The sequence below is a fragment of the Homo sapiens genome, chromosome 7 (genome assembly GCF_000001405.40).
Source record: "Homo sapiens chromosome 7, GRCh38.p14 Primary Assembly".
NCBI lineage: Eukaryota > Metazoa > Chordata > Mammalia > Primates > Hominidae > Homo > Homo sapiens.
This window is the reverse complement of record NC_000007.14, coordinates 90310004-90324927: the sequence shown is the minus strand read 5'-3', so window position 1 is coordinate 90324927 and position 14924 is coordinate 90310004. Positions and strand designations below refer to the sequence as shown.

The 14924-nt window shown below is 37.8% G+C and overlaps 2 protein-coding genes across 25 annotated transcripts in view; one reads left to right on the top strand and one right to left on the bottom strand.

Annotated features, from left to right (window-relative positions):
• Positions 1–1204: 1204 nt before the first annotated feature.
• Positions 1205–14924, bottom strand: part of CFAP69 (cilia and flagella associated protein 69) — a 78550-nt gene continuing 64830 nt past the window's right edge. For 13 of the 24 annotated variants that reach the window (XM_011516577.3, XM_017012625.2, XM_017012628.2 and 10 more), the window contains 3 exons: positions 14694–14860; positions 4507–4570; positions 1205–4048 (listed from right to left, as the gene is read on the bottom strand). In XM_011516577.3, the coding sequence (XP_011514879.1) occupies positions 4513–4570; positions 14694–14860 (225 nt within the window). In that variant the 3' untranslated portion in view covers positions 1205–4048; positions 4507–4512. Of the gene's footprint in view, positions 4049–4506; positions 4571–4608; positions 5012–8040; positions 13006–13864; positions 14861–14924 lie in introns of those variants that run through there. The other 11 variants (NM_001039706.3, NM_001363438.1, XM_047420846.1 and 8 more) reach the window with 4 other exon arrangements.
• Positions 3624–8121, top strand: FAM237B (family with sequence similarity 237 member B). Its single transcript, NM_001384237.2, has 3 exons — positions 3624–4006; positions 4201–4247; positions 5177–8121. The coding sequence occupies exon 3, from the start codon at positions 5180–5182 to the stop codon at positions 5597–5599; it is 420 nt and encodes a 139-aa protein (NP_001371166.1). The 5' UTR covers positions 3624–4006; positions 4201–4247; positions 5177–5179; the 3' UTR covers positions 5600–8121.

Below are 14924 nucleotides of genomic sequence, written 5' to 3'. Positions count from 1 at the left end.
CTAGGAATTTATTAATTTAATTTAAAATTTCAAATATATGGTATATGTTGGTTGTTAGTATTCGTGTATCTAGTTTTAATCTTTATTTGCTATCTATAGATATATATCATTTTCTACCTTTCATTTTCTTTCTTGATCAGCCTCATCAGAGGTTGCTTTATTTTATTCAAAGAATCAACTCTTTTTGCCTTAGTTCACTAATGTGTGTTTTTGTAAAATCTCTTAACTTTTGAGAGCCTTTTTTCTGCTATTTTACCAGCTGTTAAATTTGGTTGCATTTATCACTCTATCAGATTTTCAGCCTCTCTTCTTTTGGCACAAGTGTTTAAAGCTGTTAATTTCCTTTAAAGGATCCTCTTACTGGCTTCTCACAAGTTTTGATATGCAATGTTTTTTAATCACACAGTTTGAAATATTTTATAATTTCCATTGTATTTTATTTTAAAATCGATTGTTTAAAGTTATTGCATAAATAAGTACATTTATTGTTTAAATTTCAAAACATGAAAAACTACGTTCTTGTTTTTATATTTCTTAAAACACTTTTTAGACTTTTAAACTTTCTGTGTTGTGGTCAGGCAACGAAGTTTGAGTGATACTAGTTTTTGAAATTTGTTGAGACTTGCTTTAAATTTCATGAGACTTTATTTTTTCTTTTATTTTATTATTATTATACTTTAAGTTTTAGGGTACATGTGCACAACATGCAGGTTTGTTACATATGTATACATGTGCCATGTTGGTGTGCTGCACCCGAGACTTGCTTTATTTTCTAATGGGAGGAATGTGTTCTTTAACTGCAAGTTTCATGGTTCCTTATAACTTGACGGTTCAAATCATCTACACATTTAGTATTATTTATCATCTTAACCTAAAGGCTTGTGGAACTCTCCCACTATGATAGTGAGTTTGTGAAAATTTCCCTCTACTTCTGTCAGTTTTTGTTTTATGTATTCTGTAGCTTCGTTATTAGGTATATCTAAATTTAGAATATTTTTATCTTCTTCCTGAATTGAGTCTTTTATCATTATGTAGTGTTCCCCTTTCTCCTTCATCGTGCTTTTTTGTATTAATAAAGCTGTCAGTTTAAAATACAATTAACATGTGCATGGTATATTTGTTTCCATTCTTTTCAAGTTTCTCTGTCCTCATTTTGGGTGTGTGTATCTTTTGTAAAAGCACATAGCAGAATTTAAAATCCAACCACATCTTCCTTCCTTTAATCAAGAAGTTCAGACTATTATTATGATTGTTGACTTGAATCTTATAAATTTACTTTCTACTTGTCACTTTTGCTGTGCTTTTTTCTCTCTTCTTGCTTTCTCAATTAATTTTTTATTTGTCAATCTGTTTTTCTCCCTGGTTCAAGAGTTTTGTTCTCTATTTCCGTCATTTAGGAATTGCCTGAGAAATTTTACCATACATATTTAACAACTTTGCAAAGTCTAAATTCAATATCTATATCTCACTTTTTACTGTAGATACCAGTTTTAATAAAGCCTAAACTTACTATCTACATCTCACTTTCCTCTCTTCCTTCTCTCTTTCTCTTCTTTCTTCTTTTCCATATTCTGATTCTTTATGCTTTGCCTCCATCCGCCTTTTCCCTGGAGATTTCACTTTCTTGATCACCCAATGATGATTTAAAAATTATGTTTGTCATCATTTTGCCAGATTCTATTTGAATGTAGCAAGTAGACCCTTCAGAAAAATCACTCACATAAAGAATATCTTCTCTCACTGACTTGGGGGTAGACACCAAGAGTAAAATTTCTAGATCACTTTCAGATTAAACAGATAATGCCAGTTTTCTTCCTTGGTGATTATACCAGCTGATAGTCTCATCAAAAGCATATGAAGTGTTCATTTTCTCAAAAAATTGCTGAGATTGTATTTTACCAAATTAATTTTTGTTAAGCTTCATTTGGGGAAGACAATATATCATTTCCTTGAAATGGCTTTGTTATTAAGTCTATCTAAATTTAGAATATTTCAGTATTTTTTCTCATGTTTACTGAATATTAAGGTCTACTCTTCTGTCAATTACCCTTATTTTTCTATTATTGATTTATATAAGTTCTCTATTCAGAATACCATTCCTGTGTGTGTGTTATAATAATCATACCCAAATATGTACTCCTATTTAGTACATTACTCTAATTCTAATATTAGAATATTCTTTAAAAATGCATTTTAATGACAACTATTACCTGTCTCCTTACATTTTTCTGTATTTTACAACTTTTCAATAGGTTTTGAATACTTGTAAACAGATAAAAATGTTTTATGAAAAATAAAGTATATCTTTCAAAAAAGACGGACAGGAACTATGTGGTTACTCAACAGAGAAATTGAGCCAATTCATTTTAGAAGGAAGCCAACATTAACCCAAAGATGGAAGGGGTTGCTTCCTTTGGGGGTGGGGACATGTGCCCAAGGTTAAGTCACATTGGAAAACAGCTTTGGTGGGTGGACAAATTCCTTGGGAGGGTGGTTTGTTCACGTTTCAGCTGGGATGTTGGATTAGGTCACTCTGCATCTCTGCTAATTGTGAGAGTCCATGATTAATGGTGGACTGAAACACTTGGAAGTCTACAGCAGAAGAATATCTGGTGTGAGATGGATTCGTGTATATCCTACCTAATCCGAGTAAACAAGTCTTCCCCTTTTCTCAGTTCTGTTTTGTGCAGGAGGTGGTCCTGCAGATAGAAGGGGCATAAAAAGGCATTGCCAGGGCAGAACTAATGATTGACTACGTTAGCTCCACCAACAGGATGAGAACAGGGTGGAGCTTTGAATAATGGTGGGTGCTGGGAGAAGTGAGCTTTAGCAGGGACAATGACTGGGGAACTGGGCTGTTTGGTTTGGCACTCATCTCACCCCATGATCTCACCATCCCAGCTCAAGAACCTGTGAGAAGGGTGGCCTGCCTGAGGGGAAATGGGGATAAGGCAGCTGGCTTTGATTTCCCTAGCCCCATCTGATCATCGCTGCTGGGCTATAGGCAGAGCAGGTAGACTTAAACTCATATATAGTCCAAGTGATGTGTTGGGGCTGAGATTGATGGACAACATACATATGTGAAATTCAAGGTACTTGCTCGGGTCTTCATCCATGAAGGGATAAAGGAAACATTTCCCCCAGTGTAGAAGCAAGGGTATGTTTGCGCGTGTGTATGTGTTAGCGTTAATAATAAACTGTGTTTAGCTAGAGATTAGAACCGTTCAAGGAGGTTTAGCATTTTAAGAGAGTTCACAGCCTTAAGAGAATTTTTCTCTGGATAGGAGAATACGGTGTGGAGCATGGGTGGGCGGAGGGAGAAGATAACTTGGGTATGTGGACTGACTAATGCCGAGATGGATCTTCTCAGCTAAGAAAAAAGAAGGAACAAAGTAAGAAGGAGAGAGCGAAGAAGACCCTGAGCCTTTGGCATAGCAAGAAAGTCGGAGGAGGGCAGGAGAGGCGAGAGCAGCGGCCAAAGCAGGGCCGCAGGGCGCAGAGGCCCCCGAGGTCTGGAGGCTGGGAAGTTGGGCGAGGTCAGGGAGGGGCCTCGAGAGCGCGGCCACCCACGATCTGCCCCCTCACTCAGCCTCTAGAAAAGGATCGCGGTCCCAGCGGCGGGTCTGTCTCGGGAACCCCGCGTGGCCGCAGCAGAACCGGCAGCTCCACCCGCGGTGAGCCAGTGCCAGCCAGAGCCTCCCAGCGCCGAAGCGCACCGCGGCCGAGACGGTTCCGCTGAGCGAGCTTGGGCGCCCGGTGAGCGCTCGGGGTGGGTGACACAGCGCTGCCTCGCCCAGTTCGCCTGCCTCGGGAAGTGGGTCCGCTGGGCAGAGGGCGCCCTGGGCAGGGGTCGTCCCCGCTGAAACCTCTGGTTCCTCGTGGGCAGGAGGCGCCCCGTCCTCCTCCCAACGAGCGTAGCGCACCCAGGACACCGCGCCGGGACGCGCTCCTCGGACGGCGACCAGAGGTCCTCGACTCCCGCGTGGCCTCCCTCTTCTGCGCCCAGGTGACCTGACCCAGGGCTGGGGGCACAGGGAGAGGCGCTAGCCTGAAATTGAGGGGGAAGAAATTCCCTCTGATACATCATGTATCATAAACTGCCAGCTTTCAGCTCAGTCTGGGGAATTTGCACAATTTTCGACGATGTGAAATGACTTGAATGTCCTGTTTAGATTTGATTCGTATGATTTCTCTCTTCAGCCCAACTTTTTTAGGGAGGTGGCAGACGGCTGTGTACGGGGGGAAAGGTGAGTCCTGTGTTCTGGATCTGTTCTCCTCTCCCTATCCCTCCCCGTTGGCTGTCAATGTTGTAAAAGGGACATTTCCAACAGCAGCCTTGAATAGCAGGTGTGTGGCAATTCAATGCCAACTTAGTCTTTAACTTCCTCTTATGTGCTTTGGGCCGATTTTACCCAACAATCAGTTGGCAAGGAGGCATGCAAAGAGGCATTAGAAAAATGTCAAGATTTTGCTGAATGTAATGGGCCCTGCACTATCTCATCCTACCTTATATCACCTTTGTTTTCGTGCCACTTCATGTATGTCTACGTTCATCTTCTCCAACCAGCTCCTAAACAGAGGGAAGCCAAGAATACACCGGATATTAGTGCGTAACAAGTATTTTTCAATACATGAAAATGGAAATAGCAGTAACTTTGAGACTTAAACGGTGTTTGTGAGATCTAGTACCATTTGGGTTAATAATATCTCAATTAACAACAACAAAATACTTCCTATGTTACATGTAGAAAGGACTGTATTTTGATCCACTTAGTTGAAATGTGTTGTGGTAGGTAGGAGTCTTGGATAGGCAGTCAGGAGTCTGAAGACTTGCGGAACCGTATCACTAATGATCTAATCAGTAAAGGGAGAAGGTTGGAGCATAAGCTCTTTAGGGTTTCTGCCACTTTTAAAGGTCTGTGATGAAATGAACCTTTGCATTTTCATAAATGTGTTGCATTTCAAAGACTCTTGATCAGAACGTTGGAAATCAAACCGGAACTGTAATATCCTAAAGGAAGATGTGATAATCAGTAATTTAGAAAAAATGAATACCTAGTAAGCAGATTTGGCTTGATCAAAAGCAAATATATGTGTACTTACAGTTTTTTAGATCAAGTGATTGAATAACTTTTTTAAGTTAAATATATCCTCTCTCATTTTTTTTTCTGTATAGAATATGTGTTTTGCTACAAGAAGATGGTTCTATCTACATTTGGGCTGCATGATGCTGATCAATCTGGTTAATGCTGACTTTGAGTTTCAAAAAGGAGTGCTTGCCAGCATCAGCCCAGGAATCACCAAAGACATTGATCTCCAGTGCTGGAAAGCTTGCTCTTTGACATTGATAGATCTCAAGGAACTCAAGATAGAGCACAATGTGGATGCTTTTTGGAATTTCATGTTGTTCTTGCAAAAATCTCAGCGGCCTGGACATTATAATGTCTTCTTAAACATAGCTCAGGATTTCTGGGACATGTATGTAGACTGCTTGCTTTCAAGATCTCATGGAATGGGCAGAAGACAGGTGATGCCCCCCAAATATAATTTTCCACAGAAAATAACAGGAGGTAATTTAAATGTGTATTTAAGAGAATAGCAGTTTACTTTTCTTTAAAAGTCACTATTTAATTCTTCTGATTTTTTTCAAGTTATCCAACAAGGTAGCAAATTTACCATATTTAGTTTTTTTCCCTAAAATGATAGGTTTTGATTCTCATTTTTACTCATTTTACATTATTTACAAACCACACAAGCTCTGACTTACAATTTTAAATGATCTTGGAATATAATACACTTTGGTAGATAATTAAAATTATCCTTGTTTGCCCATGAATAGTTCATAAGAAAGCCATTTAACCCTGTAATTATTCATATTACATTTGTTGAAGAAATTTTAAACATCAGACATGTATTTAGGCTTTTGAAATTAATTTTTTCAATAGGGTTGTATAAAAGCAGGAAATTTAAGAGTCATATTGGAATGAATATTAACAATTTCTTCTTTTAAATCTTACAGGACTAGATTTTACAAAATGAGAGTATTACATTTAAGAGAAAACATGTAAAATACCTCAAGCAAGATGACAGCGACCTGAAAACTTGTATTTATGAGGTCAAATATTTCTTGTCATAGTTATACAAATTATTTAATACTGATAAACGTTGTTTTTTGTTGTAATTGCTTTATTGCTATTGAATTATTCCAATATTTTCAGATAATTTCTCAATTTTTTACTTAGAAGGTGTCTTTTTAAAGTGTCTTTGTTTTAAAGAAAACATCAGTTAAAAGGCAAATGTGATATATTTTTTAGATACAATAGTCAATGGAATAAAATTGTAACCAATTTTATAAGGTATCTTATATATTAATATTGACTATTAAACTGTGCCAAAACTAATGGCAGTATTATCCTAAAAAGTAATATTTAATGTAGTATATTTTGTGGTTTCTGAAATGTACATTTCATTACCAAGCCATCTTCTATATTAAAGTATTTTTCTATGCATTAAGGACTAAAACCTTTTTATGTTCTCATTTTTATTGTCTTTGTTTTGAAAAAGGAACAATAAACAAAGACAGAAACTTCATTTCAGTAAAGTACAATTTGATAGAATTTTTGTGTTAGCTGAGTTATTTTTTATATTGCCTATTTATATCTCACATCTTATTTCAAAAAGGATGTGAAGCTTTAAAGAAATATACCGAAGAAAAGGAAAACATGAAGTAGTGGAGGAAATTGGAACATTGGGACATGAAGACAGGGAAGTAATACAATGGAGTTACGGTTTAGATTAATACTTTTTGAATGCATGTCGTAAAAGCCTATACCTTTGATAAAGGGTGCCTATAAATTTGGTCTGTTTCCCACTTCTCCTAGTGAAGAGGGACACATGAACAGTTTCAAGATTCACATGCTTATAAGAAAAACCAAACCATATGTTCAACAGAGGTCCAGCCTTTTCCAGGACAAAGAATCAATGAAAATCTCACCCATAGGTTTTCACAGTGGCTACCATGGTTTACAACACTGGTTTCAAGTATCCTTACAATGACAGATTCTCTCCTTTACAGTCTGATTCCAGTACACTCAAACTCAAATATAAAAAGTTTTAAAATCGGCTAAAATAATACTGAACAAGTAACGAACTGCCTGATGGTTTGACTTGATCCAAGAATAAGCTGAATTAAAGGAGGGACGTTCTTTGCATTATTGACCACTTTCAAATTCTGATGATGTATAGACCATTTATTAGGGGTTTTATATATAAACACTCTTAAAATTACATTTTGCATGTAATTTCAGGGGGCTGCATAAACCCCAGGTTAGGAATTTTCAATATTAAAGGACCTCATAGCGTTCGGCAATATTATTTCATATAACCAATTTTGCATGAGTAGCAGATAATATAAGATTGTAGGGCTAATAATTTCCTAGATTGAAAACTTCTTATCTTGCCAATTAAGGGTGGATCCCTAAGCTCAGAAAATCAACTGGTTGGAGGGTAGGGCTAATTAATGTTCTCATAAAAATGACCAGACAGCGTGTAAACATGAGTGATTTTATGTCCATTAAGCTTTTGATTTGTGGAATTTATATGACAAATAATTAGTCTGATATGAGTTTTTAAATTTCAACATATTTTCATATTGACACTTTATTACTGTTTAGCTCTAATCGAAAAGTGATGATTCATTTGAGAGGAGTCACATTTATGTGACAGGAGTAAAAAGTTGAGTTAATCTTGCCAAGAACTTTCCTGTCCTTTCTCATCTCCATATTGAACATCTGTGTTCTTTATCATTAAACTGCTTTTGGTCTAAAAAAAAAAAAATGACCTGACAGCTATCCACCTAGAATTCATTTCCTGCAGAGGAGCCGAAGTGGTACCTAGAGGCAGTATTACAGTTTTCCTCAAAAAAAACAGTTCTCTTTTACAGTCTGTGGGCAAATGATTGAAGCTCAAAAGTTCAATGCTGTAAAGTGAGACCATGTACTTTTAGTCTAAAAAATTGTTCAACCAGTTGTCCTCAATCACTCATAGTTGTCATGACAATTTTATTGCAGCGATGATAAACATTTTAGCTTAAATCAATAAAATTAGTCTTCCAGTTAATGGCAAAATGGTTTTCTAGTTCTTTTAATTGAATTTACATACTACATTGGGTTAAAAATAAGAACATTTGCTAAACTGGGCAATCTGGTTTTAAAACAACTCATCTTAAGCTTTTTGATGATGATTACATACCGTAAATTCCTCCCCGTTTTTGGCACAAATAGTGTCATCTGCATATAAAAAAACTTTTTCTTTCTGTTCATCATTCATTCATTCAACAAATATTCATTAAGCTTTAGGGTATATTAGTGAACAATCCAGACGTAATCTTTGACTCACAGAGTTGACACTGAAGTGGGACAATGCAGGGATAGACTGAAAGATCTAATTCAAAAGCAATTTTATGATATCAAAATAGAAGATAAAAAAGAAGGTGGTCAAAATGAAGCTGAATTGGGACAATATGTATTTCTCTTTTGTCCTATTCAAAATCATTTGACAGTCTAGAGATCATTTTAAAAAACAAACCACCAATTCTTGCAGTGGTACCATGGTAAAGATTCAGTTTCACAGCTTTGGGTTTATGCTGAGCTCATTTGGCTTAGCTCATAACCGATTATTTTTCAGAGAGCTTAAGGCTGAGGAGAAAAAAGGTGGCAAAGGATCTAATATTGACCCCACAAATATTTCTTCATAAGATGATACAAGGGATAATAATTATCTATGTCTAAAGTTCCTCTGCTGTTTCTATCGAATCTTTATTTTTTCTTTTTTTGAGACGGAGTTTCGCTCTTGTTGCTCAGGCTGGAGTGCAATGGCGTGATCTTGGCTCACTGCAGCCTCCGCCTCCCGGGTTCAAGTGACTCTCCTGCCTCAGCCTCCCAAGTAGGTGGGATTATAGGCACCTGCCACCATGCCCAGCTAATTTTTTGTAGTTTTAGTAGAGACAGGGTTTCACCAGGTTCACCAGTCTGGTCTCAAACTCCTGACCTCAGATGATCCACCTGCCTCTGCCTCCCAAAGTGCTGGGATTACAGGCGTAAGCCACCAAGCCTGGCCAGAATCTTTTTTAAACTTTAAATAAACTTTTAATTTTGTTTATTTTTTAAACTTTTGTTTTAGGTTCAGGGGTACACATACAGGTTTGTTCTATAGGTAAACTCATTTCACGGGGGTTTGTTGTACAGATTATTTTGTCACCCCGGTACTAAGCCTAGTACTCAATAGTTATTTTTCCTGATCCTCTCCCTCTTCCCACTCTCCACCAATCAAGTAGGCCTCAGTGCCTGTTGTTCCGCATTTTGTGTCCATGAGTTCTCATCATCTAGCTCCCACTTAAGTGAGAACATGCGGTATTCGGTTTTCTGTTCCTGTGTTGGTTTGCTAGGGATAATGGCCTCCACCTCCATCCATGTTCTTGCAAAAGACATGATCTCATTCTTTTTATGGCTGCATAGCATTCCATGGTGTATATGGACCACATTTTCTTTATCCAGTCTGTCATGATGGTCATTTAGGTTGATTCCATGTCTTTGCTATTGTAAATAGTGCTGCAGTGAACATTCATGTGCGTGTGTCTTTACGGTAGAATGATTTATATTCCCCTGAGCATATACTCAGTCATGGGATGGCTGGGTCGAATAGTAGTTCTGTTTTTAGCTCTTTGAGGAATTGCCACACTGCTTTCCACAATGGTTGAACTAATTTACACTCCCAGCAACAGTGTATAAGCATTCTCTTTTCTCTGCAACCTCGCCAGCATCTGTTGTTTTTTGACTTTTTAATAACAGTCATTCTGACTGGTGTGAGATGGTATCTCATTGTGGTTTCATAGCATTTCTCTAATGATCAGTGATATTGAGCTTTTTTTTCATACGCTTGTTGGCTCCATGTATGACATCTTTTGAAAAGTGTCTGTTCATGTCCTTTGCCCACTTTTTAATGTTTTTCTTCTTGTAAATTTGATAAACTTTTCATTTTAAAATAGTTTTAAAGCAGGGGGGGGAGCGATAGCATTGGGAGATATACCTAATGCTAGATGATGAGTTAGTGGGTGCAGCGCACCAGCATGGCACATGTATATATATGTAACTAACCTGCACATTGTGCACATGTACCCTAAAACTTAAAGTATAATAATAATAAAAAATACCAAACTGTAAAAAAAAAAAAAAAGTTTTAAATTTGCAGAGAAGTTGCAAGGATGGTACAGAGTTCCTATATACCTCTCATCATTTTTTTTTCTTTTTCTTTTTTTTTGGCAGGGTCTTGCTCTGTCAGTGGTGCAATCACGGCTCACTGCAACTTCAACCTCCTGGGCTCAATTGATCCTCCTATCTCAGCCTCCCAAATAGCTGGAACTACGGTTGTGGTCTACACCACCACTCCCAAATAATTTTTGTATTTTTTTGTAGAGTCAGGATTGCACTCCATTGCCCAAGCTGGTCTCCAACTCCTGGACCCAAGTGATCTGCCTGAGTCAGCCTCCCAAGTGCTGGGATTACAGGCCTGAACCACTGTGCCTGGCCCCATGTTTATTCTTATTGTTAATATCTTAACATTATATATGTCACAACTAATACACTGAAACCAATACAATATTAACTAAACTTCCTATTTTATTCAGATTTCAGTAGTTTTTCCCTAAGCTCCTTTTTTGTTATTGTTGTTCCAGGATCCCACGTTACACCGAGTTGTCATGTCTTCTGAGGTTCCTGTGGGTTGTGACAATGTCTCAGACCATGTTTTTGATGACCTTGACAATTTTGAGTACTGGTCAGGTATATTGCAAAATGCCCCTCAATTTGGGTTTGCCTGATGTCTTTGTTTGACTGGGATTATAGGTTTTTGGGATGAAGACCACAGAGGTAAAGTATCATACTCAACACGTCATATCAAAGGCACATGTCATTGACGTGACTTGCCATTGGTGGTGTTTAACCTTGGCTTAGGTAGTGTTTGCCAGTTTTCTTCATTGTAAAGTTTCTTTCCACTTTCTTTCTATATTACATCCTCTGGAAAGAAGTCACTAAGCATAACCCATACTTGAGAATGGGTAGTTATCTTCTACCTTCTTGAGGAGGGAATATCTACATAAATCATTTAGAATTCTTTGTATGGAGGCTTCCCCCACTTTCTCTCTCCCTTCCTTCCTTTTTTCCCTTCCTTTCATCATTTATTTATATCAGTATGGATTTATGAACATTTGTTTATACTTTGGTTTATAATCCAACACTACATTATTGATTTGTTCAAATCATTCCAGCTTTGGCCACTGGGAGCTCAGTAAGATGCTCCAGACTCATATATTTCTGCGCCAGCCTTAGAATTAGCCATTTCTCCAAGAAGCCCTGGCTCATTTTATTGGAGAATGATACTGGAAACCAAAGTTGGGGTATTGGGTCTATCTATAGAATTTTGACCTGATAGTACCAGGACAGTTCCTGGATGTCAGGGTCTGCTATTCTTTCTCAGAAAGCATCCCTGACATTTTCCTTGAAAGGCAACTAAATATAAGCAATAAAAAATGGTTGCTAATGAAACTAATGTAAGTTAAGGTTGTGTTGGCAGAATGTGTGTAAAAATGAGAGGAACTACATTGATCCTGCTCACCTGAAAAATCTTTGATCTGTTTGGTCACAGTTTAGAGGAGTATTAACAAATTGTAGCACTTCAGATGGAGCTGACCAGATTCATACATTCTAGAAACTACATTATCAGAAGAATGATGAAAGAAACTGGATATCTGACCTCAAAAGACTTAAGGTGGATAATATAGTTGTATATAAAATACTTTATGTTCCATAAGGCAGACTGATGATGCCAGATGGATGAAAGTTATTCACCTAATTATTCACTAATTTTTCACTCAATGTAAGTCAGCACTGTCTGACAATTAGTTTAACCATGCTAGAATGAGCTCCCCCATGTGGTAAAAGTCTCATTACTGAGATTGTTGAAGCTACTTTTATCTGTGCTCACTGAATTCCACACTTTTATTCTTTTGACTTCCTTTTCATTCAGTTGGTTAGTAAAAGTTTCAGTTTGAAAGCTTCAAATTTTGTCTCACCTGACTAATGTAAGAAAATATACCATCCTTCTCTCAGCCGGCAGGATCGGGTAGGCATCATGTCCCCTAGGGCTCAGGGGTGGTGTGAGAATATAGGATGTGATGAGAGACAGAGACTTAGAGTTAGTGATATTGTGAGAAAGAGTCACTCACTCACTGTGTGGTGGCTGGAATTATAATATGCAAACTTGGGTGAATCTGTCTACCAAGTGCAAGTGTCTGTATTAAGGAACATTACTGCTTTCCATCAACTTACACTTATTTGTCTATTAAATAGCTGCTACATAATAATCTGCCCTGTTTTACCTTTCTTCTTGCTGATGGGCAAAATACATGGAAGAAGAAAGGTTCACAGACATCAGAAATTGTCTAGATTACAGTCCTAATCAATCTGAGACATTTAGTTGTACTACATACAAAAATGATACTCAAGCAAGTAATACTATTTCCACACCTTGGTTATATTCATGTAGTAGTATTTATGCCTCACCATTTTGGAGAAAATCTATCATGTTATGAAGTAAATACATTTAAACTAACATGTTGTCTGTGTTGAGCATTACTTGTGTAGTATTTTGTTGGCTGAATCTTCCCTTTGAGCTCAGTACTTTGCTGCATTTGCAGAGCTCAAGGGAAAGACTGCCAGTAGCTGAGGCCACCATCACATTATCTAATAATTTATTTCCGGAGATACTAAGTACAATAATTAATGAGATATGGTCTCTACCTTGTTCTTAGAGAGCTTATAGTCTACAAAATGGAGCAAAGATTCATTGTTAGCCATGGACACTTCACATCAATTCAAGTGTACCTAAGATGTATCTGGTATTTTTTGTATGGGCATCTCGTTGTATGCTCCTACCCATGCTTAGGGTTCCCTGTGAAGGAAAGAAACAAATTATGCCTTCTAATATCTTCTTGAAGGTGGTAGACTAGAGAAAGGGATTCAGGAGAGAACAAAGCTCACTGATAAGCTGATGCATGTTATCTACTCCTATGGGGCACAAGAGGATGGGCATCTGGGCCAGGGTGAGAAGCCGCCAATCTAAGGTGAACTGGCAACTCATTCTAATTAGAACAATGACAAGAGCTGCAACCCCTACCTCTCAATGAAGATGCTACTGTCTTCACAGACAGGATAATGGAAAATCCCTAGAGGAATGTGAGTTGGGGGAAGAGGAGGAAGAGGAGGAGGAGGAAAGAAGAAGGAGGAAAATGTGGGTACATTGAGGTGATAGAGCCTGCTCTTATCTAATAATGAAAGAACCTATCTATGTTTTCCCAACCATGTATTCAATGGCATCATGTTGGTAGCTTGAGATTGGTAATAGTGGCAGTATTTATACTGTGTGAATTGGTGAGAACATGATGTAAATCAGGGCTTTTCCCTCCTGGAAAGCTAGTTATCCATTTACCAGTACACTGCTGAGTGTGCCCCATGGGCCCAGAATCTAGACTCAAATTCCAGTTTATTTTCCTAAGAAACAGGTCCTTGTCTCTCTGATTCCTGGACATGAACTCATGTCCTTTGTGGCTTCCAGGCTGGAGGAGGGGTGTGAAGGGAATGAAGGCAGGAGAGGGAGACTTCATAAGGGCATCCAGGGACACAGATTTGCTCTATGTCCAGCATAAAGGCATTTATCTCCTATTCTTTGACAAGATACCTCTACTACCAAATGAGGGAAAACACTTCCCCCATTACACCTTTCCCTTCCCCATTAAAGAAGAGAAGTAGCATTAGAGTTTGCTTTGTATATTTATATATTAAGAGTAAAACCAGCTGCATTTTTTTTTCTTTTTTACCATTTGGCTCATGACTAACATTTGCTTTTATAGCAGAGAAAACATAATTTTATTTTGACCAACATACTTGTTGCAGAGTTATTGTTTATCTTGCTGCCCAATATTCATATATACTTGCTTCTGATAATAGTACCCTGATTCCCCACTCTATCCATATGTTTTGGATGGAGTTGCCCTGCTTCTGGCTCCAGGAATAGGCAGTACTCAGCCATGGCCAAAGTCATGGTGAATGGCTCAGGACTACCGTAGGCATGTGGGCAATCAGGGGTCCTGAGATGCATAGGCAGCTGCAGAAACCACAGAGACACAGGCATGAACCTAAGAGAATGTAAGCCAGGAGCTGCTAGGGAAGGAGAAGATCCTACTCATATAGTTTTAGTCCTTAGATTCAGCAATGCCTGTAGTCTAAATTCCTCCTAGATTTGATAGGTATAGAGCCTGTAAGAAATTTTTTTTCTGACTTAAACTAGTTAGAATAGTTCACATGCAACCAACAGAGTCCTAACTGATGTACTATGTTTTACAATTTCACTTAGTAAAATTGGTAGCCTTTCCAAAGAAACTGATGACAACTCTTCTGATATTACATGTTGATGTTTTCCATAAAAATAAATTATATGTCCTTTTATTTTTATAGTATTTTACTAAAATATTTATACTAAAATACTTATTCTAAAATATTGGCTTTACATATGTATAAAGATATATTCAGCTAAAAAATTATAAGCTGACTTTATTTCAAAAAGTCTCTATAGTATATTACGTAGGAATACTCTTTTTTGGTGCATCCACAATTTTAACTGCTTTCACCCTCTGCAAGGCTCCTCCTCGAATGGGCAGTTTTTTAAGAGCAATATCCGTATCAACCAGAGGTCCTCCTACTAATCGGGCAGGAGTGCTTTCCACTGTTACTACTCCACCAGAGGGCACCTAAAAAGGCAAAAGGTAAATATCTAAAAGTCCATTTACACAATTTTCAACAAGAGAAAAACTC